General features: G+C 40.0%; 1 protein-coding gene across 7 annotated transcripts in view, besides 1 other annotated feature; it reads left to right on the forward strand.

Annotated features, from left to right (window-relative positions):
* The window catches only part of TTC39C (tetratricopeptide repeat domain 39C), a 142,714-nt gene that overhangs the window by 39,232 nt on the left and 78,629 nt on the right, over window positions 1-24,853 (forward strand). The window lies entirely within an intron of this gene.
* Window positions 1,696-1,745: an enhancer, noted in NCBI's record as "active region_13170". NCBI's record gives its function as "activates an Ori minimal core promoter by ATAC-STARR-seq in GM12878 lymphoblastoid cells {active_cell/tissue: GM12878}" and the evidence as "EXISTENCE:reporter gene assay evidence [ECO:0000049][PMID:35858748]".

Raw genomic sequence — 24,853 nt, forward strand, 5'->3', positions numbered from 1 at the left:
TCACCCCTAGAGCCTCCCCAGGGAGTGTGGCCCTGCCGATACCTCGATTTCAGCCCAGTGACACTGATGTCACACTTCTGGTCTAAAGAACTGTAAGAGAATACATTTCTCTTGTTTTCAGCCACCAGGTTTATGGTAATTTATTACAACAGCCACAGAAAACTAATTCAGCCTCCCATTGCTTTTAGGATTAGGACCAAAATCTGTGGCAGGATTTATCTGGCATAGCTTGGGCCTGCTTGGTTTGCCCCTTGACCGTCACTGCCTTATCTCATTTTTTTCATATGAAGATTGAGTATCCCTTATCCTAAATGCTTGGGACCGGAAATGTGTTGGATTTCAGATTTTTTCAGATTTTGGAATATTTGCTTATACATAATGAGATATTTTAGGAATGGGACCGAAGTCTAAACACAGAATTCATTTATGTTTCATATACATTTTATGCATAGAGCTTGAAGGTAATTTTGTACAATATTTTAAATAATTTTCTGCATGAAACAAAGTTTTGACTGCATTTTGACTGTGAACGTCACATGAGATCAGGTGTAGAATTTTTCACTTGTGGCAGCATGCCAGCCCTCAAAAAGTTTCAGATTTTGGAGCATTTTGGGTTTCAGATTTGTGGGTTAGGCTGCCCAACCTGTATTTTAAAATGATTTTGTTGTATGATTTCTAGGTTGTGGCTGTACAAATCCCAGTTAGCTCATGCTATAAAATAGACTCATATTTCCCCCTTTTATACAGGGGTTTGTAGAAAAACAGAAAAGTAAAATAGCTTTAAATTGGCAATGGCTTTCGTTTTAACCAGCTTTAGAATCCATATTAACCTTCATTGAAAAGATCAATGCTGGCTGGGTGCAGTGGCTCACACTTGTATTCCCAGCACGTTGGAAGGTGAAGTCGAGTGGATCACTTGAGACCAGGAGTTTGAGACCAGCCTGGCCAACATGGCGAGAGCCTGTCTCTGCTAAAAATACAAAAATTCGCTGGGCCTGGTGGCACATGCCTATAATCCCAGCTACTCGAGAGGCTGAGACATGAGAATCACTTGAAACTGGGGGGCGGCGGTTGCAGTGAGCTGAGATCATGCCACTGTACTCTAGCCTGGGCAACAGTGTGAGACTCTGTCTCAATAAATAAATAAATAAAATAAATAACCAGTGCTTTCTCCAATTATGCCATTTGGTAGCCTTGTCTTCCATTGCTGTGTTCTTTCCTTACTCTTTGACTTGTAGTTACCATGATCTTTCAGATTCTTGACTTTGCTTTGCTTCCTCCTGACACAGGGTTTTCATTGCACGTTGAATCTCTCCTCCAAGCTGACTCAATTTCTACTTATCCTTCAACCTCAACTCCACCTTCCCTTCCTGGAGAGGCTTTCTCTGGTCTTCCAGCCTCATTTGTTTGCTATGCATTCTGTAAGAATCCTCTGGGTTCTTACCTTAGTTTGTAATCATGCACAGACAGCCCTGGCCTTACTTGGTTCTAATATGCACAGATTCCAGTTTCCAGAGTTAAGTAACACCAGTTCCCCAATAACACAGTTCAATTTTCAGTTACTACTGTGTATGAGCTTTGAGTAATTGTAGCCACTAGCTTTTCAGGCCACAAATCATTATGTATGTAACATGATCAGTAGCCAATCGTGTGACTTCTTTCAGAGTCTGTCTGTGACTGGTCATTGCACCTCTGTTGTTCAGTTCACAGACAGCAAAGAGTGTCCTTGTGTTGCTTCCTTCATTCCTAGTGATAGACCCACTGACATTTTACTCAAAGGGATAATTGAAAGAGGACTTTGGCCAACAAAGATGAAAGTGCAGCAAAGAAAAAAGTGGTAACACTGGAACTGAAATTGGAATGATATCTAAATGGAAGGAATAGCTGACCTGGAATGTTGACACTGCCCCTATTTGAGGGACTGTGGATGTGCAGCCACAGGCAGTTAGTGAAGGGGAGTTTATTAAACATAAAGGAGGAAGGTTGTAAGAAAAAAGATGCAGATGTCCCAGAGGAGGTGACACTGGCCAAGAAAAACTTCCCATTCAAAGAACTCTTGGAAAGATCTCACAACATCGAAAGCACAAAGGCTACCCTGAAGCTAATCCAAACTTCATAAGGAGTGTCACAGTTCAAAGTACGACAGAGATGCGTACTTTACATCATACATTATCTTACAAGAAGAGGGCACGCCCTGCTCAAAATCCTCTTGATAAGTTTTCTTACAAAAAAGGAAATCCCTTTAATGCTCAATGTTTTAAATAAGAGTTTGTAAAATAAATGTTTTGCTAACTTTTTTATTTCCCTAATGTTTATAAATGGTAGAGTTTTTAAATGCTTTTAAATTATTTTTTCAATTGTGGTAAAATATACATGAGGTAATATTCACCATTTTATTCATTTTTAGATGTACGGTACAGTGGCATTAGTGGCATTAAGTACAGCCATCACCAGCATCCATCTCCAGAACTGTTTTGTCTTTCCAAATGGAAACTTTGTACCCATTAAACAATAATTTCCCATTTCTCCCTAGCCCCAGCAACTGCCCTTCTGCTTTCTGTCTCTATGAGTTTGTTTGTGATAGGTACCTCTTATAAGTGGAATCATACAGTATTTATCTTTTTGTGATTGGCTTATTTCACTTAGCATAATGTTCATGAGGTTCATTTATGTTATAGCATATGTCAGAATTCTGTTTTTAAGGCTAAATAATATTCCATTGTTTGTATATGCCACATTTTGTTTATCCATTCATCCATTAATGGACACTTGGGTTGCTTCCACCTTTTGGCTATTGTGAACAATGCTTCTGTGAACATGGATGTCCAAATATCTGAGCTCCTGCTTTCAGTTTTTTCGGGTATATACCCAGAAGTGGAATTGCTGGATCATATGGTAATTCCAGTTTTAATTTTCTTTATTTCTTTATTTTTTTTTTAAAGAGACAGAATCTGGTCTCTTGCCTAGGCTTACGTACAGTGGTGTGATCAGAGATCAGTGTAACCTTAAACTTGTTGGCTCAAGTGATCCTCCTGCCTCAGCCTCCCAAGTAACTAGGACTACATTCACGTGCCATCAAGTCCAGCTAATTTTAGTTTTTGTAGAGCTGTGGTCTGGCTGTGTTGTCTGGGCTGGCCTCTAACTGCTGGGCTCAAGGGATCCTCCCACCTTGGCCTTCCAAAACACTGCGATTACAAATGTGAGCCACTGTGCCCAGCCCTATTTTTAATTTTTTGAGGAACTACTATACTATTTTCCACAGCGATTTTACCATTTTACATTCCCATCAGTGGTACACAAGGGTTCCAGTTTTTCCACATCCTTGCCAACAGTTTTCTTGATTTGTTCTGGATAATAGCCATCCTAATAGGGTGAGGTGGTATCTGATTTACGTTTCCCCAGTGATTAGTGATATTGAGCATCTGTTCATGCGCTTGTTGGTCATTTGTATATATTCTTTGGAGAAATGTTTATTCAAGTCCTTTGCCCATTTTTTAATTGGGTTGTTTGGTTTTTGTGTTGTTGAGTTTTAAGAGTTCTTTATGTATTCTGGATATTAACTCCTTATCTAACGTATAATTTTCAGACATTTCCCCCCCCATTCCATGGATTGCCTTTTCACTCTGTTGTTAGTGTCCTTTGATGCAGAAAAAATTTTAATTTTGATATAGATCGGTGTATCTGTATTTTCTGTTTTTGTGTGTGCCTTTGGTATCACATCCAAGAAACCATTGCCAAATCCAATGTGATGAAGCTTTTTCTCTGTTTTCTAATAAGAGTTTTATAATTTCAACTCTAATGCTTAGGTCTTTCATCCCTTGTGACTTAATATTTTGTATGGTATAAAGTAAGGGTCAACTTCATTCATTTGAATGTGGATATCCAGTTTTCCCAGCACTGTTTGTTGAAAAGATTGCCCTCCATGCATGAAGGTTTATTTCTAGGCTCTCTATTCTTTTGCATTGGTCTATATGTCAGGGTTTGTGCTGGTACAACACTGTTTTAATACTGTAGCTATGTAGTAAGTTTTGAAATCAGAAAGTGTGAGATCTTCCAATTTGTTCTTTTTCAAGATATTTTGGCTATTTGGGGTCCCTTGAGATTCCATATGAATTTTAACATGGAGTTTTCTATTTCTGCATAGAAGACGTTGGTATTTTGATAGGGATTACACTGAATCTAGAGGTAACTTGAGTAGTATTAGCTAATATTAAGTCTCCTAATCCATGAACATGGAACATCTTTCCATTTATTGATCTCATCTTTAATTTCTTTCAGCACTGCTTTATAGTTTTCAGTGTATAAGTCTTTCACCTCGCTGGTTAAGTTTATTCCTAAGTATTTTATTCTTTTTGGTGCTATTGTAAATGGAACTTTCTTAATGTTTTGAATTATTCATTGTTAGTGTGTAGAAATACAACTGATTTTTATGTGTTGATTTCGTATCTTGCAACTTTGCTGAATTTGTTTCTTTTAACCATTCCTTGTAGAATTTTTAGGGGATATTTTTGTTTCTGTTTTTGTTTTCTTGAGACAGGATCTCACTTTGTTGCCCAGGCTGGAGTGCAGTGGCATGATCACAGTCTACTGCAGTCTTGATCTCCCCAGGCTCAGGTGATTGTCCCACCTCAGCCTCCTGAGTAGCTGGAGCTACAGGTGTGTGCCACTACACCTGGCTAATTTTTGTATATTTTTGTAGAGTTGGGGTCTTGCCATGTTACCCAGGCTGGTTTCAAACTCCTGGGCTCAAGCCATCTGTCCGCCTTGGCCTCCCAAAGTGCTGGGATTACAGACGTGAGCCACCGTGCCTGGCCATTTTTAGGGTTTCTTACATCTAAGATCATGTCATCTGTAAACAGAGATAATTTTATTGTTTTTCTTTCCAATTGGGATGCTTTTTATTTCTTTTCCTTTACTACTTGCTCTGGCTAGGACTTCTAGTGCTATGGTGAATAGCAATGGCAAAAGTGGGCGTTTTTGTCTTTTTCCTGATCTTAGAGGAAAAGCTTTTGGTCTTTTACTATTGAATATGATGTTAGCTGTGGGTTTAATGTTTTGATGAAGTTTTTAAAAAGATCATAGGGCACTTGTGATTGTTCCCATTTATTATTAAGATCAGTTTGTATGGTTTCAGCTTGCATGGTCCTTTTTAGGCTCTTACTGTATTGTGTAAAGTGAGTACTGCCTGTATTCCCTGACATAATATTTCCCCCAGTTGGACTATGCTCCTTGAGATTAAGAATTTTGTCTGTTTTGCTCACTGCTATATCCCTAATGTCTGGCATGTAGTAGGTACTCAGTCAATGATGTATGAATGATTCTTACTTTAAACATGAGTTATTCTGGGTTCCCACCATTTGTGCTATTTATCCCCCATTCTCCAAATGTGTGGATTCCTTGTGATAGGACATTTGTCTGGCGTATTGGAGAGTAGCGTTGCAGAGTCTCAGATAGACCATCTCACCAGGAGGGTTGGGTGAGACTCCAAATTGATATCTCTCACTTATTTTAAGGCTTGCATATATTAGACATTCTGTGTTGCATTAACTGGTTACTACAACACTTTGGTATTATCAATTTAGCATTTAGACATGGAATATGGTTCCTTTGGAAATGCAAAATTCAGTACAAATGGAAGGTAGTAGTAAAGGGTAGTTGGTGGCAGGGTTGCTGTTGTGAACTCGGGTTCTTCAAGGAGATCACAAGGAGACTGTGGCATTTTATGTTGGTGTATGACTGTGAACGGCAGGTACCATGGATCAGGTCAGGAGAAAAGATCTTTTAGCTCTTTTCATTTTTCAGGCGACATGTTTCTTCAGAGACTTCCCTGCAGGTGAGGCCTCAGCCTGGGGTCAGTGGAAATTCAACCCCAAATCAGCACTTGCTATGCTATGCTACGCATCCTTATGCCCTGAGTTGTCAGATGTGTATCTAGTGGCACCATTTACCTCTTATAATTCAAAACCAAATTCTGCAGAGGGTGATGTTTGTTTAAAGTCGAGTCCTCTTTATTTTCATATATAAACTGTACATTAATTAAGTGCCGACTGTGTTTAAATTATCATGGTAGGTCCCGAAAGGAGACAAAGATGAATAAGATCCACTCCCTGCCCTCAAAGAAGTGCCCGTCTGATGAGGACAATCTACACAGCATGTAATTTATTTTTATTTTTATTATTCTTGAGACAGAGTCTCACTCAGTCGCCCAGGCTGGAGTGCAGTGGTGCAATCACAGTTCACTGCAGCCTCGACCTCCCAGGCTCAGGTGATCCTCCTACCTCAGCCTCCCGAGTAGCTGGAACCACAGGCATGCACCACCATGCCCGGCTAATTTTTGTAGTTTTTGTAGAGACGGGGACTCACCACATTGTCCTGGCTAGTCTTGAACTCCTGGGCTCAAGCAATCCGTCCGCCTTGGCCTCCCAAAGTGCTGGGATTACAGGCATGAACCACCATGCCTGGCCCACACAGCATATAATTTAAATGGAATCACATCATGAGAACAGTAATAAAAACAGTCATATTGGTCCACTTAGGCTGCCATAACAAGACACCAAAGGCTGGGTGGCTTAAACAGCAGAAATGTGTTTTCTCACAGTTCTAGAGTCTGGGAGTTTGAGACCAGGGAGCCAGCATGGTTGAGATCTGGTGAGGGCTGTCTCTCTTCCTAGCTTGTGGACAGCTACTTTCTGGCCATGTTCTCACATGGCCTTTTCTCTGAGTGTGAGGGGCACATATGAGAGAGTGAGATGTCTTCCTTCCCCTTCTTATAAAGCCACCAACCCTCCTGGATTAGGACCCCATCCTTATGACCTCATTTAAACTCAGTTACCTCCTAAAAGCCCTGTGTCCAGATATAGTCAAATTAGGGGTTAGGGCTTCAACATAGGACTTTTTGGTGGACGCAGTTCAGACCATAGAAACAGAGATACATAGCACTTACTTGGGACCCCCAGTTTGCCAGGAACTGTGCTGGCATCCTCATTCAGTCCCCCCATGCACCTGTAAGGTGGGTACTGTCATTTCCCCCTACTTTACAGATGATGAAACTGCAACTCGAAATAATTATTTTCCAAGGACACTTCACTTAGCAGAGCCAGGACTTGAAACCAGGGCCATGGGAATTGAGGGAGTGTCAGAGGAGGTGCCTTGAGAATGAGCAGGGAAGTCTCCCAGGGTACTGGGGCAGAGCCAGCATCCTCAGACTAGGCATGTGTTATAGTCAGGGTCAGACTGTTCTGTGGCCGCACAAAGAGAAGTGTATTCAAGGGAATGATGGAAGTGGACACACATGATAGGTGGGTCTGTGTTCTATGTAGAACCATGGATTTTACCCTTTTCCACTTGGGTGGTAAGGAGCCATTGGCAGGTTTTTGTTTTGTCTTGTTTTGTTTGTAGAGACGGAGTCTCAGTGTGTTGCCCACGTTGGTCTCAAACTCCTGGCCTCAAGCGATCCTCTTGCCTCGGCCTCCCAAAGTGCTAGGATTACAGGTGTGAGCTGCCATGCCTGGCACCATTGGTGGTTTTTAAGCAGAGGAGTGACATGGGTTTGTGTTTTAGAAAACTAATTCTGGGGACACTGTACACAGTAAGCCTGGAGGAAAGAAAACAAGTTAGAGAGCGACTGTCATAGCCCACATGGGGTCTGGGGAGAGCAGGGGAAATATGTGTGAAATGTTATAGGAGGTAGATTCAGCAGGACTCCTGTTTGGTTTCAGTTTGATTTTTGGTTGTGGTTGGGAGGAAGGAGGAGGAATTGAGGATGTTCGGGGTCACTAGTTAGATGGTGCGGCCATTCAGAGCAAGAGAGGGAATACAGGAAGAGGAACAAATTTGAAGGATTAAGCAATGTTATAATTTCTTCACCAATTTGTCATCAACTGGGAAATGTTACACCAATTATTTTAACTCTCTTGGGAAAGAAATGTATGTAGTACTGAATATTGAAAAAAGACTTGAAGTAGCTGGAGGAGTAATCGGAGGCCTCTTGATTGGGACCGTGATTGGGACCACTAGTGATGATTTATTATAATTTAAGAAGTCAGTTAAAGCAGGGGATTCTAAAAATGATTAACGTCAAATAAACATTTTATTACTTTTGATGTGGGGCTGAGGCTTTCGCTTTGTGAGTTTGGTGATGGATTTTTAATTTGACTTTCTTGCGTAAGCCGCATCTATAATATATTTCTGTGTCTTTCAGTATTGGGGTCACTGAAGTGGAGTAAGAGGTTAAAATCATTTGTGAAGCAATATTGGGTAAATGCCCCTCAGCTTTACAAGCCTTTTCCACTTATCTCGCTTTCACCTAACCCTAACGTAACTTTTAAAGTCATCTGCCATTTTGGAATCTTTTCAAAGCATTTATTTATTTTTCATACATGTCATGTTTTTCCTCACCCTTATTTCATGTAGTTACATAATAAACAATGAATTATGTAGTTGCCATTTAACAAGGCTATATATATTTATATATAACAATTTTTATATAACAAGGGCAATAGGAATAATCACATTTGGAAATAATCACTAGAGACTCTCGGTAAGCATACAGCTTAACTAGTAAAGAGAAAAGCCCACTAGCTTGAGTATCCAATAGGTGAAGGGCATCTAGCGCGCTCTCTCTCTGACATTAGTTAATCCAGAGATTTAGGTGAGTGAAGATTGGTTAAGTGAGTTTCCACTGTGTGTTACTTTTTGTGTGCATGTGTGTAGATAACACAAGGGCCAGTGTAGACATCAGTGTGAAGTGGTGGTACTGTATTTTTGGGGGGGCTATATTATAAATTACTGATTATTTCTAAAACAGTTACAAAGAGAAAATATAGATTGTAGGAGGGATTATGCAATGATAGTTTAAAATGAAAGTGGCGTTAGTGGAATTTTGCATTAGCTACAGTAGTGAAACGAAGTGGATTGAGTTCAGGGAAAAAAGTAGGGGATCTGAGGGTCTGTTGGATTACTAGAAAGAGATGAATGGAAGTATTTCCTTCTGAAAATCAGATTTACATGTCATTTCATAATTCATGCCTGCATAGACCCCTAATGCCATCAGTTAAAATTATCGTTGCTTCAAAGTGAGCCCACCTACTTTCTGGCCATGCTAAAAGCACAGCTAATGATAGCATCTAAAACAGCTTGCACATACAGTCCATTATAGTAGGAACTCAGTTATTTTCCCTTGATAATTGGCATTGATTCGCTAGCACAGGAAGAGAAAGCTGGAGGCTTTTGAGAACTCTGGGCTCCACCTTGCAGCAAGCTTGTGTCTGATGGAGCTCTAGTGGGTGGGTGGGTAGCAGAGAAAGCACAAGCCAATAGTCCAGCAGCGTGTTAACCGTGTAAGAGAAGGGCCAAGAGTGTCATTTGCCACCTTAAGAGACCAAGCAAATTATAAAATGCAACAAGTTTCCTGGTTCATGGTCTTTCAGGAATATTGGCCTCTGTCATTAGGTTAGGAATAGCTAGTAATCATGAAATATTTTAGGGACCGCTTTCCTCTTATCTGTTGCCCTGATTTGCTTTAGCTATTTTAATAATGGAGAGAAATTGGGCCTCTTAATACTTTTAATAGGTGCATTATGTTATTTTTCTTTTAACAATTTAAAATAGTTTAAATATACAAAAGTGCAGCATATTATAAACAAATATAGATGTCCTTCATACTCAGAATTATGTTTTGAAAAATGTTAACATTTGTAAACATTTGCCATATTCACTTCTGATATCTTTAGAGAAGTAAGACATTACAGATACAGTTAAACTTCCCTTTCAGCCCGGCGTGATTACATTTTTCTCTTTCCCTCTCTATAGGCCACCAGTGTCATCAAGCTGGTATATGTCTTTTCCATCCATATGTTATGCTTTCATTGCATATTTTTAACCGTTAACAACATATAGGTTTCTGTTTTCAAATTAGCATGATAAATATCCTTTGCAGTTTGTATTTTTCACCCGATTTTTAAGTTTTGAAGTCGACCCATGTTGATCTATGTTATAAAACAACTATAATCATTGTAATGTCTAAATCGAGTGTTTTGTTATATAAATATATGATATACTTAGGCATTATGGGTAACCATTTAGGTGGGTTCTATTTTCTTAGGACCTTAACAGTGCTATAGTGTAAGCAGTCCCCAACCTTTTTGGCACCAGGGACTGGTTTCATGGGTGACAGTTTTTCTAAGGGTGTGGGAGATTGCGGGGGATGGTTTTGGGATGAAACTGTTCCACCTCAGATCATCAGGCATTAGATTCTCATAAGAAGTATACACAACCTAGACCCCCCACGTGCACAGTTCACAGTAGGGTTCGCGTTCTTAGGAGAATCTAATACTGCTGCTGATCTGACAGGAGGTGGAGCGCAGGTGGTAATGCTCGCTCGCCTGCTGCTCACCTCCTGCTGTGTGGCCCAGTTCCTAACAGGCCATGGACCCTGCGACCCAGGGGTTGGGAACCCCTGCTTTAGTGAACATCTTTATACACGTTTTTACGCACATGTGCAAAACATTGCTGGGGTGTATGTCTAGTTGTGGAATTGTTTTGTCTAGGGGTCAATGATACTATACGTAGGCAAATCTCTCTCCAAGAGTTTTTACAGGGGCTTATAGTTTTCTGTCCTGTGTATGATATGATACAATTTAAGATGTAAAAAGACTCCAGAAGAAGAAATGAATATACCCTGTATATTTACGCAGTGTAAATAACGGGTGTGCCTAATGACATTTAGGGTCCCGGGGTTTTTTCAATTAGCTAGTCCTTTATTGAGCATTTCCTGTGTACTGAAGCATTGTGGAAGTTTCTGGAGCAATTTGAGAGCAGATACCATGACTCTCATAAAAATGTCTGTGTTCAGTGCCTGCAGAGCAGTACATTTTGGGGATAAAATCAATGAAACTATGTGGGGGAAATAAGATCTGGTCCCTACTCACAAGAAATTTAGAGTCTAGCTAGGATTATATAATATACATATATGAAAGATACACATTAATGAATCAGACTAAGTAGTTGAAAATAATGTAATTCGTAGAAGTAGCTTGAAAATTAAGTTGAAGCAGTATATGTTGAAAGAAGAATGAAATAAAAAAACTACCCAGTGAGCTGGGTGTGGTGGGTATGTGTCTGTAGTCCCAGCTATTTGGGAGGCTGAGGTGGGAGGATTGCTTAAGTTGGAGACTTCAAGGCTGCAGTGAGCCATGATTGTGCCACTGCACTCCAGCCTTGGTGACAGAGCAAGACCCCATCTCTAAAAACAAAAAAGCTAATCAGTGACACCATTCTTTTTTCCCTACCCCTCCTTTCCCCATCTTGGAATTAAACATTGAGAGAATCAAGTTATTAGAGCATTCGGCAACAGAAAAATACAATTAAAGGGATAGGAACAACTCAGGGTTTTCTGGTCATGAACCAGGTTGGAGACACTGAGGCCAGATGCCCCATGGGAGGCAGGGCGCCCTACATGTGTCTTGAAGCCCTTCTCGTCTGCCGCCTGGGCTGTAGTTGCTCAACACGAGGCTGCAAGTGTGTGTTTCCTGCTATCCCACATTCAGAGCTTTCACACATTTCATGAAGCATCTCATATTCAGAGCTCACTGAAGTCTCTTACTGCACCATTAACTATTAAATCCATAAAGTCCCTGAGCAAAGGCACATGGGAAGACGAAGGTTTGCCACCAGGGCAGTTCTTGGGATGGAGAAAATCTCAGGGATATGGTATTAAGCTCATTCACAGCAGGCTCAAGAGTGAACAAGTAGTTTTGCATCTGCAAAGGGTTTCTCTAATTCCTACCAGCTCAAACATTTAGCATTGCACAGGCAGGACAGCATTTTAACTTCTTGCCAAAAGTCTCTTTACTACCGCGGATTGGATTTTTCACCTATGGGAATTAAACTTCTCTTCTATAATGGCAGTTGGCTGAAAGAGCATTTGTGTATGTTTGTGTGTGTGTGTGTGTGTGTGTGTGTGTGTGTGTGTGTTTAATAACCAGTTTTGTTAGAGCCGTAGTGCAAACCCAGGAACATTGGTTTCTTTCTCTGTACACAGCACGGGGGCAGGTTACAGAGAGGACATCATGGAAAAAGTCAGACTCTTTCTAGGATTTGAATCGGGAGTCTGAAGAGGAGAGGGGTGGATGTGCAGAGGCTGCGAGGCAAAGATCAGTGATGTGGGGTGGTTAAGGGCTTGCACATTTGCTGACCTGGACCAGAGAACCTGCTTGGAAGAAGTGAGAAGCCATGCTAGCGAAGGCCAGGAGCTTGCAGGGGCTCAGAGCCTGGCAGTTGCATTAGTTTGCTGTGATGCACAGTGCAAAGAGGTGGCTGGTCAAGGACCAGTGGCATGGTGAAGTGTCTCCAGGGTGCACCGCTTTTGCGGCAGTTTAGTATGGACAGAGTCTGGGCAGGCTCAGTGTAGCAAGCCTGTCATGAGAGGTGAGGACCAAGGTGGAGGTTGGTGTGACAGGAACAAGGAAAGGGAAGAACATAGAGCAGGAACACAGGAGAACAAAGAAAGGTCAGGACCGTCAGCCTCCAAAGGCCACTGAGGAAGAGGGGCCATCCACTGGAATGGAAAACGAAGACGTACCTGTGGGGAAAGGATCTTAAATTCAGTTTAACAGAGCAGGCCTTCAGCAAATACAAGAATTCTTAATTTCAGGTAGGAAGATATTAGCAGTGTCTTCTAATATTTGTTTTCGGAAAGATTTATGTCATTTTAGTTCACACAACTCTGTCTGCCAGCATCATTAACTTACCTAACTTGTTTAGAAACAAAAATGCTAACAGCACCACTGAGACCTTGCTAGTCTAAGTGTGCTTTGGAGACCATTGGCATCAGCACCATTTAGGCACTTGTTAGAATGTAGAGTCTCCGGGCCAGGTGCGGTGGCTCACACCTGTAATCCCAGCACTTTGGGAGGCCAAGGCAGGCAGATCACATGAGGTTGGAAGTTTGAGACCAGCCTGGCCAACATGGCTAAACCCTGTCTCTACTAAAAATACAAAAATTAGCCAGACACGGTGGCACACGCCTGTAGTCTCAGCTATTTGGGAGGCTGAGGCAGGAGAATTACCTGAACCCGGGAGGTGGAGGTAGCAGTGAGTCAAGATCATGCCACTGCACTCCAGCCTGGGTGACAGAGTAAGACTCTGTCTCCAAAAAAAAAAAAAAGCATGTAGCGTGTCCAACCCCAGCCCACCTGAGTGAGAATCTGCATTGTAACAAGGGGGCCAGGGGGGATTTGTGTGCACAGCAAAGTATAAGGCGCTCTGCTTTGACACACTGCCTTCCTATGGCTTAAAAATAAAATTATAACTTAAAATATTATGGCATATTCAGTTTTGTTTTGTGAAAGGCTGTAATAAATACCCAAAATACCATTTTAAAAGTGCTTATATGATTAGTTATAGAATTGATGATTTAGCAAGAAATACATAGTTTTCACTGTCTGTATTTCTACTCTGGAACGTAAACTCCGTGGGAAGGGCCTCATTCCACTGCCTGCAATGGAGTTGGCATACACAGGTGCTCAAAAAATGTTTGTGAAATTTTGTACAAGTAAATAGATGAAATTTAATTATATATTGGTGTTTTAAATTACTTCTTCTGTGTGCACATTTTAAAACTATGCCTTATGTTGATCAAATAAAAACTTTAAATTATAAAGATAAATGCTTATTCATTGATAAAGTAGAAGGAAAGAAAAATACATATATAGAAAAATCACCCTTTACTCCCACTACTTACAGATAACATTTTAGGGTACTTCCTTCTGTGAAAATATATATATATATATATATATATATATATATATATTTTTTTTTTTTTTTTTTTTTTTTTTTTTGAGACGGAGACTTGCTCTGTCACCCAGGCTGGAGTGCGACGGCACAATCTCTGCTCACTGCAAGCTCCGCCTCCTGGGTTCACGCCATTCTCCTGTCTCAGCCTCCCGAGTAGCTGGGACTACAGGCGCCCGCCACCACACCCAGCTAATTTTTTGTATTTTTAGTAGAGATGGGGTTTCACTGTGTTAGCCAGGAAGGTCTTGATCTCCTGACCTCGTGATCCACCTGCCTTGGCCTCCCAAAGTGCTGGGATTACAGGCATGAGCCACCGTGCCCAGCCTGTGAATATTTTTACATAGTTTGTCCTACTACACTTCTTACTTGTATCCTGCCTTTTCCATTTATCATCATGATACAGTAACTAGTTTATTGTATGTGCCGAGCTTCAGACTAGACATTTGGGATACTTTTCTTGTTTACTGATTATATCCACATAAGGCAGTATAATTACATCACATTTTCACATGAGGAAATGCAAGTTGAGAGTTTGTCTATCTTGCTAATAGTCATAGATTTAGTCCAGGATCAACTTGAGATTTTAACTTGGTAGCGTTTTCTAGAGCCTGTGCTTTTTCCAGCACACCAGAGTAAGCATTACCTTAGTTATGACTTTTTGTTACAAAATAATATTTTGCTAGGTGAATATGTTTAATTTGGCTAACAGTCTGTATTCCTCAATATTCTAGTTATTCTTGTTTCTCAATACTGCATATCATACTACTATGAATGTTTTTGCATAGAAATTTTTTCTATATTCTTCTTAGGATAGATTCTTAGAAACATTTTTAAGTCTCTTGAAATGTAGAGAACTTTCCAAAAGATTTGCACCAATTTTCATTCCCACCACTCACTGTAAATATTATATTGTATATTTGAATGCATATAGGCAAAGCAATATGCTTTTTTCATGCTTCCACAGAAAAAATACATTTAAACGTATTTTATTTTTGCTTCAAATAATGACTTTTGTTTCACTTAATTTAATTGACTTTTGTTACTGAAATACTTAACTTTCCCTAAATATCAGCTCTGTAGTACATAGAATGTTAGCATGACATTCATATTCTGCCCTGCTCAGAACTTTAGTACAGTTTGCAGTTTCTTAAGAAGATATACATTTACATTGATATATATTTCTTTTTTTTTCTTTTTTTGAGATGGAGTCTCACTCGGTCACACAGGCTGGAGTGCAGTGGCGCGATCTCCGCTTACTGCAACCTCTGCCTCATGGGGTCAAGCGATTCTCCTGCCTCAGCCTCCCAAGTAGCTGGGATTATAGGTGCCTGCCACCACATCTGGCTAATTTTTGTATTTTTGGTAGAAACGGGTTTCACCATGTTGGCCAGGCTGATCTCGAACTCCTGGCCTCAAGTGATCCACCCGCCTCAGCCTCCCAAGGTGCTGGGATTACAGACATGAGCCACCGTGCATGGCCAACATTGATATATATTTCTTAATATCAGAATTCTTCATAAACTGTGGGGGTTTTATGGTTATACAACCCAGTTATTCAACTTTAATGTGTATTTAATAGCACTTCTTCTCAAAAATCATAAGATGTCATTCTTAGACTATTGTATAGTGTTTCTTTCTTTCCTTTTCTCCCTCCCTTTCTTTTTTCCTCCTTCCTTCCCTTTCTGTCTGCCTTCCTCCCTCCCTTTATTTCTTTTTGGTAGCAGGAAAGCAGATGACATACAGAGAGGAAAACCTATGCTTGTAACAACAGCAAAACCAACCAAACTGACCTTTACTTATATATAGCTTACTTTGATACTTTAATAAAACTTTTGAAGAAGGAAGTATCTCTTACTGCTAATATTTGAAGTCATAACAGATCATTATAAAATATAACAGCTCTGTATTGAAGACAGTTCCGTAGAGGAGATAACAAAAATATATGAACCTGATGTGAGTATTACACATTGTATGCCTGTATCGAAACATTTTGTGTGCCCCATAAATATATACACCTATGTACTCATAAAAATTAAAAATTAAACATTAAAAAAGTATATGAAAGAAGGAACACTGTCTTATTCATTTAGCCATGTTTATTTTATACATGGCATGTTTATTTGTAGTATAGCTTTCTCAAATATAATCACAGTTGCTTTAATATGGCAAAAATGCATTCTGTTATTAAAACAGAGCCTGTTATACGTAGGTTTTATCTATTATATGTATGATTTTTGTGGTCTAATAGTGCCTCTACTAGAATGGAAATTTAAAAATAGCATTTATAGTTTAATAATTTGCGTGAGACTAATAAACCAGCGAATTTGGAAAACGCATACACGTGTGTGCCTTCCAAAATGTGCTATGAAGTTTTGCCATTTTGAAATACTTGATAAACTATAGGACACTAATATATAATTGCATAAGCAGTTAAGGACTCGTGAGAATGAACTGATTTTGTTAAAATTTAAATTTTAAATACCCTATTTCTGACTTCTTTAAATAAATGAGGTGTTTTTATGCCCTGCCTTTTTTTGCATTTATGCAAGGCTGCCCATAGCCTGAAGGCAGGGGCCAGTTATGCCTGTATGAGTAGGAAATTAAAGGCCTTTACTATTCTGATTTGAAATTTTGAAAGAAGGACATGGTAAGTATTTGAGATAAATGTATATTTTTGGTTAAAACATGTAACTTTTTTTTTCCTATCTCTATTCTTCTGAAATAGAATTAGTTTTATATAGCTTTGAGAAAATATTGCTTTCTTTTTGTGCACTCTGCTCCTGTTCATTAAAAAATTATAAGTGCTATATTTACCTTTTAAGGTAACGTTTTCATAGGAAGTAGCAGCGATTGCTGTTTTGAGGTTGTTTTTCTTAAGTGGGCTTTTCAAAGACTAGAAGTTATTTTTAGGCTGAGGTTGGCAATCAGTGTGTAGGTAGAAAAATAGATTTGTTATTTTCCATTGTAGAAATATATTCTTTGAAACACTGTATTTACTTTTTAAATTGGTAAAATTTAACAATACAGTTATGGAATGAATATGTCAATACATGATTATGTGGTTCTTAAGACGCGTTGGCCAACTCAAGAGAAAATTTTATAATTATGATAGGACTCCTAGCTCTTATAAGAAGTGGCCTTTATAATGCCACCTTTAGTACTTTTCAGCATTCTACAGGTGGACAATTCAAGAACTATATTTGTAAAATAATGTTTTAAAGAGAGCCAACGGTAAAGGCAGGAAATCACTCAAAACATTTTGTATGTTCCAGAGACTACTCAAATATTAATCCTGTTTTCAGGAGTAACTTCGTAGGCGTGGAAAAGATTTTTGTTTATTTAGACCAATTCATTATTTATTAACTTCATTCAATAAATAGTTACATTGTACCTACTACATGCCAGGCACTATGTTAGTGAGTTTGTTCACTCAGTCAGCCAGCTCTGTAACATGGAAAGAAATGGGAACAATTTCACCTATCTCATAGCCACCTGAAATAGCTCAGCATAGATAGTTTTCTGTTCATTTGCTTCTCAGGCTGTTCCCTCACTCACTCATTCACTCATTCATTTGCTTATTCATCAAGTACCCATTGAGGGCATTCTGGGTGCTGAACCCTGTGCTGGGTAGGCACTGTGCGGGTGTGAGTTGTGTTCTGAAGGGTGAAGGCTGAGGATCTTGAGAGCCCAGAGGAGGGATCCAGCCCGACCCGAGGGACCAGGAAGAGTGGTCTGGAACCAGCACCCTTTGGACCTAGGCTAGAGGCCGAGCAGGAACCATTGAGGAGAGAGGCAGGAGGTCAGTGGCCCAGGCGGGAACCCTCACACCCAAGCCCCAACATTTTTATTTTGTTTTGGGAAATGTATAGGATTAAAGTAATAACTGGAAAGGAAATAAATGGAAACACGGAATGGAAACATTTCCTATTTTCCCTATTGTTATCTGAAGACAAACTTAATTTTTATGTTGCTACTTTCTCTCTTAAATATCCTCTTACTAAATAGTCTGTCGTATTAATTAGACTGGGTAGTCCTAACTCAAGAAAGCATTTGGCAATTAAAAGATGGAGGACTCAGGGTCTGACCGTTTTCCTTGGCCTTCATTTGGCTTTCTCTCTCTTTTCTCCCCTCCTTCTTCCCAGGCCTGGCTGGCTGGTGCCTGGACACCATTTGGGGCTCTGAGAGGGTTGTGGCTGCCAGCCCCCAGTCGCCAATGCCTGGTCAGGCACTCGTATCCCCTGTCCTGTTCACCATTTCTCCTTTCTCATTGTTCTCATAATTTGTCCTGCTTAAAACTCCTAGGTTCTAAGGGACACCCCTGCATTGCTTGCCTTTCCTTTGCTAGACACCAGAGAGAGGCTAAAAAGTGAAATGTGGCCTGGTGCAGTGGCTCATGCCTGTAATCCCAACACTTTGGGAGGCCAAGGCAGGCAGATCACTTGAGGTCAGGAGTTCAAGGCCAGCTTGGACAACACGACGGAATCCTGTCTCTACTAAAAATACAGAAATTAGCCAGGCATGATGACCCATGCCTGTAGTCCCAACTACTTGGGAGGTAGGAGGATGGCTTGAGCCCGGGAGGTCAAGGCTGCAGTGAGCTGAGATTGTACCACTGTACTCCAGTCTGGGTGACAAAGCAAGACCCTGTCTCAAAAAAAAAAAAAAAAAAAAAAAGTGGGCCAGGCACAGTGGCTCATGCCTGTAATCCCAGCCCTTTGGGAGGCTGAGGAGGGTGGATCACCTGAGGTCAGGAGTTCGAGACCAGCCTGACCTACATAGTGAAATCCTGTCTCTACTGAAAATACACAGTTAGCTGGGTGTGGTGGCGGGTGCCTTGTAATCCCAGCTATTCAGGAGGTTGAGGCAGGAGAATTGCTTGAACCCGGGATGCGAAAGTTGCAGTGAGCTGAGATCATGCCATTGCACTCTAGCCTGGGCAACAAGAGCAAAACTCCATCTCAGGAAAAAAAAAAAAAAATGCAATTCTGTTTTTGTCATCTTGTTGTTGAACTTGTCTGTATTTTAAATTACTTTCATGACTGAGTATATTTTGCCATACTCAGGAGATGCATTCTTCATGTACGTGTGTGCTAGAAACGCATCAGTCAGAGCAATAGTCCGTAGGAAGTAAGGGTCAAGGGCCTGGTTATTATTGTTTTTAGGGTACCTCTTAGAGAGCGGCTCATTAATGATCTACCTGTAGATAATTACTACCTCAGGCTGTAGGAATGGACTGTCCAGCCTCCTGCTTATTCTTCCCTTCCGTGGGGAGGAAACCCAGAGTCGACTGGCCCCAAAAGTCTTCCCATCCCCTGCCTGTTACAGGCTAACAGCTTCACTGATCTTGGTGAATTTCATGGCTTCTCAGCACCAGCCAGCGTATTACGAAGTCTTTTTGCTGATAAGATGCAAGGCCATATCACAAGCAGTTAACAAAAATAAACAGAAACTGCAGTGGCTGTAAATGCAAACATCGCTGTACACACAGGGGCCATGCTGTCTGGGGACAGGTACCCCTCCAGGCCTGAGGTGCCCCTGACCTGCAGGGACATCTGGGGTGAGCTGGTGGTGGCTACAGACTCCCATACTCCCCAAAAGGGTGGGCACATGATAAAAACGAGTCTGAACAGAAGACTGGACCTATTCCAAACATTTGTGAATCAAACACTCATAAACTAAAGGCTGGGGTGGTCAGTGGTTTTAGAGGCATGCCGTCCTTTAGATTAAAAGGTCCCTAAAGGTCATGGTTTGAGTCATGTCTGAAAAGCAAATAAAGTCTTTCCGTGAATTTCCCCACAGCTATCTTCTGGTAAAGGAAATAAGCACGTGTGCTTTTGTTGGTGAAAGCAGTTTTACAGGTTCAGGTGATGAAGGTCTTCTATCTAGTCATTTTTTGACCCTGTGAGGACAGTTCGTCAGATGAAATGGGAAGTATGAATTTTGTAGGACGTGGTTGGTTGGTTCACTAAACAGGCATGTACTGGGGACCTGTTAAACTCCAGATTCTGTCCTAGGTGGTCAGGACAGCAGCATGTAACAGAGATGGGGTCCCCACTCTTGGGGACTTCCATTTATTCAAACAAACAAATAATGACACAAATATCAAATAGTAATAAATGCTCTGCAGAGAATTAAAATATAGAGAGTGATTGGAGACATATTCATGTATCTTTAAAAAGAATACTAGAGAAGAGAAGATCAAAGATGGCAAGTAGCCTTTTTCAGATTTCATCAAATATGGTGTTAGGGGGCCCTCATTTGTCCACAAAAAATATGGTGACAAGGGATGATGACGTGAGTCAGAGTAAACACCATTTACTCACTTTGCGTCACTGTTTATTAGAAGGGCTGTTCGGACTTTCTAGTTGCCAAACTGGACCGTGTATGCTCTCTGAAGAGCGGGCGTATTCTTGGTCATCTTTGTGTCCCCAGCACATAGCACTGGGCCGGCTGTGTACTTGGTGTTCAGCAAACATGTCTTGAATGAGTGAGTGGAACAAAACTAAATTCATTAGAATTTTTCCTAAAGCCCTAAGTATAGAAAAGGTCACTTTTTATTCATTTTAAACTGAGGAATATTATCCAGTCATGACTTAGATGGGTGATTTTAAAATTAAATATCTTGCTTTAAAAAAAAAATTATTGCTTTTTTTAAAGAAAATTTACAGTTTTCTCTTAGATAACTTTGGTGGAGCCAAGGAACAAACTGGAAAACTATAAATTATTTATTAGACGATGATCCCGAATTTTATTGTTTTTGTTTGGTGTGATTTCTTACTCACCCTCCTAGTTATTTGGCTTGGAAGGAGTTGATGTTTTAATCCTTCCAGGAGCAGGCTCAGTGTCAGCTACGTACTATGGGAAAACATTGAGAATTGGAAATTTATCATGGATCCTTAGAAGATGTGGCGCAGTGGAGTGTGCAGGGCATGGAATTGGACCTGGGTGACTGTACCTGTCTCTCAGGCCTGTTGGGAGGAGGAGACCTCATGAATGAGATAGAGCCACTGGGATTACTGTGAAGTGATTTAACTTTTTAGGAGAATCACAGGTAATGAATTTTATTTTATAATCTGATTTGTAGCAGGATTCAAAAAGGGACATTCCACAGATGCTGTCGAATCATATATGAGATCTCTAAGGATGCTATCTGTAATATATAAAGGAAGCATTGAGAGGACTTTTAAAGTAAGATGCTTTCAGAATAAATCAGACATTTTCCTTTGGAAAAATATTCTTAATAACAATATGAATCATGTCAAGAAAAACCCTTCGAATAAACCATTTCCCATTTTATTTTCCTTGGCCACCGTCTGAGGGAATAGGTTGCTTTTCTTAGACCTTTGATGTAGAGTTTCCCATTTATCACTTCCAAGACACCTTTCCCTTTTCTGCATATAGAAGATGCTCTGTTTAATAAACCATTGAATGAATGCCACGTGAACAAGGTGCTGAAGACATCACTGTTCTTCCTTCCTGTCGTAATATGAGTAGAGACAAGTCTTTCTCTTTAGTTGGTGAGTGATATAAAAGCTTTTATGTTCTGTGGCACTGGCTGAACAGATATTCCTTTCTCTGTGATTGCTGCAACATCTTTGAATTAAGGTTGAGGCCTCCAAGTTGCTCCCATAATAGTTTCCCGTGTCTGAATGGTGTTACAAAGTAAGTTCAACAAATTTGGAAAACATAGCTCATTGCAGAAGCAATAAATTAATCTTATCCATTGATTGTTGCCACAGTGTATTCAAGTTAGAGAACTTGAGATATAGAACAGTAAAAATGAGCCGATAGCCCAGGAACCACAAGTACAGACTATGTGGGGGCTACATTCAGACCATCAGGTCTCCTGTGAAATTGGGACATTTCAAGCCTTTATTTAGTGCTGACTTTTACGTGTTCAAAGCACATATTTTTAGTTTTTAAGTCAGCCCTCATCAGATTATCAGACTCCTTATTATAAAACCCTTTTTGATTTTTCTTGGCACAGTGGGGGAGGAGTTAGCTAAGTAGAGAGATTTCACAATTAAAAAGGAAAAAACAACTTTTTAAATAAGAGAATGAGCAAAAGTGGCCTTTTCCTCCCCTTTTTTAAATTTTGAAAGGGATGCATTAAAAATCTTATTTATACTGCTTATATGGATAATATAAAAAGTGATCCTCAAATCACTCGCATTTGTTTTTGGAAAAAAATGCAGAAGACTGTCTTGGGGAGTAACCTCATATAAGTGAGGACTGTTCTCTACTTCTTGTGGGTTCAGTTCACTGCCAGCCTTGTGCTAAGGGTGCTCTGGGTCACAGCTGGGCTCTGAGAGGCCTCAGCTTGCCACTCAGTGAATCACTCATTCCCACATAAGCAGGATTTGGCTGTCTTGTATTGAATCGCCCCATTATTCTGTTTGGTTGGCTGGATGATATATTCCGTTGAGAAAATTGTATCAAAGCCACAACCGAACCACAGGGATGTAGAACAAGTAAATCAACTTAAATGATGCATTTTTCTCTCTAAAAGGAGTGTAAATGTAGGAAGTATCTGTGGTGACAGCTTGAAAACAGAGATGATGATTAGAGCAGTTTCAGTCGTGACTGTTCAACTCCCCCCTGTACACACACTTGGCACTGAAGAAGACCCCCTTGATCTTCTTGCCCTTCACAACAATTTTTTTCATTTTTTGTTGTCTGCATGTGTTGAAAAGTGTAGGCAGAACTTTTGTTTTCACATTAAATTCTATCAAAAAACATTTTTAGGTCATGATGATATTCCATCTGGTTATTTATGAGTCATTTATTCTATTATAGAAAGTTTTTTCAATTAATTTGTTAAATTTGTGGTAAAATATACATAACAAAATGTGTCATCTTATCCATTTTTCAAGTTTACAGTTCAGTCATGTTAAGTACATATGCATTGTTTTGCAGCCAATCTGCAGAACTCTTTTTCATCTTGCAAAACTCCAACTCTGTGTCCATTAAAGAATGGCTCCCCATTCCTTTCCCTACCTCCAACCCCTGACAACCACTGTTGTGCTTTCTGTCTCTATGAATTTGACTATGATAGGTACTTCATAGAAGTGGAATCATACAGTATTAATCTTTTTGTGACTGGCTTGTTTCACTTAGGATTATGTCCACAAGGTTCATCCATTTTGCCACATGTATCAGAATTTTCTTTTTTTTAAGGCTGAATGGTATTCCACTGTATGTATATCACATTTTGTTTATCCATTCATCTGTCTATGGGCACTTGAGTTGCTTCCATCTTTTAGCTGTTGTGAATAATGCTGGTATGAACGTGGGTGTACAGATACCTGTTTGAGTCCCTGCTTTCAATTCTTTTGTGTATATGCCTAGAAGTGGAATTGCTAGATCATATGGTAATTCTATTTTTTCAGAAACTGCCTATAGTTTTCCATAGTGGCTGCACCACCTTATACTCCCACCAACGGTATGCAAAGGTTCCAGTTTCTCCACATCCTTTCTAACACTTATTTTGTTTTATTTTTGATAGTAGCTATCCTAGTGGGTGTGAGGTGGTGTCTCATTGTGGCTTTGATTTGCATTTCCCTAGTGATTAGTGATGTTGAGCTTCTGTTCATGTGCTTATATAGCCATTTGTATATCTTCTTTGGAGAAATGTCTATTCAAGTTCTTTCCCCAGTTTTTAATTAGATTGTTCGTTTTTTGTTGTTGCTGAGTTGTAGGAGCTCTATGTATTCTGGATATTAACCCCTTATCAGATATATGATTTGCAAATATTTTCTCCAGTTCCATAGGTTGGTTGCCTTTTCACTCTGCTGATTATGTTCTGTGAGGCACAGAAGTTTTAAATTTTGATGTAGTTCCATTTATATACTTTCATTACCTGTGCTTTTGGTGTCATATCCAAGAAATTGTTGCTAAATGCACTGTCATAAAGCTTTTTTCCAATGGTCTATTAAAACCCAGTTTTTCTCTGTTCTGGATAATGTTGCAACAAACAGCTTCATGCATGTAGTTTTCTTTTCTTGGCATTGTTTTACTTTTCTTTCGGAAGGAAAGATGAAATACCAAACCAGTTTGTCTCCTTAAAACCCATTTTTGATGATAACAAGCAGAGCAGAGGATATCACTTATCCTTTTGGCAAAAATTGTGTTTCTGAAGGCGAGGTCTGAGGCATTAGAGAAGCATTCAGTGTTGTCCTTTTTGCTAATTGTACACAGTTAACTCCAGTGGCCCCCTGGGTCTGTGATTTTTAAACAGCATGAGTCCCAGAAAAGCAGAGCTTCCATTAAGAGCAGCAGGGGTGAGTACATGCAGTTTTTTCTTCAACCCTCAGATCTCAGGTCTCAGGGCTGCAGTGAAAGATGTGGATGACAGCTGTGGGCTGATTAGATTCAGGTGGCCCCGTGCTTCGTTTATAATCCCCAGGAGTCGAAACCCCCCACACATTTGAAGGGGAGAAAAGTATTTTGGAAAATTCTAGGAACTAAACATTAAATAAGTTTAGAACATTTTCAGAAAAATGAAAGACAAAAAAATTCCAGCTATTCACTACTTTGGGCAGTAAAATTGCATTTAAAGAAACATACTCAGTGAGGGACTGTTTTACAGTAGTGATGCCTGCTTACCTGAGTGAGAAATGTTCCTTTGAGAATCAAATATATACATTCTCTTCCACTGTGTTTCAGGAAATCATCATCAGTCCAATTTTTAATATATTGGAGAGACCTTAAAAAAATTTCCAAGGCAATGTTGGCGAATATCAGAATGAGGATCAGTTGCTTCCTTTCATTCACAACAGGTTTCTACCTGTTGTGACTCATACAGAGAGAAAATTTTAGAGCCGTTTTATTACTGATGGTTCATTTTAAAAAAGCAAATGCAGTGAACATAAGAGGCCCTCTCATGAAAGGATTCCAAAAGACACCTTATCTTTTGTAGAACATATGTATGTTTGTTCTGTAATTTTTTTTTTTAGAGACAGGGTCTCACTATGTTGCCCAGGCTGGTTTGGAACTCCTAGTCTCAAGCAATCCTCCTGCCTCAGCCTCCGGAAGTGCTAGGATTATAGGTGTGAGCCAT

The sequence above is a fragment of the Homo sapiens genome, chromosome 18 (genome assembly GCF_000001405.40).
Source record: "Homo sapiens chromosome 18, GRCh38.p14 Primary Assembly".
In the NCBI taxonomy this organism is placed as follows: domain Eukaryota; kingdom Metazoa; phylum Chordata; class Mammalia; order Primates; family Hominidae; genus Homo; species Homo sapiens.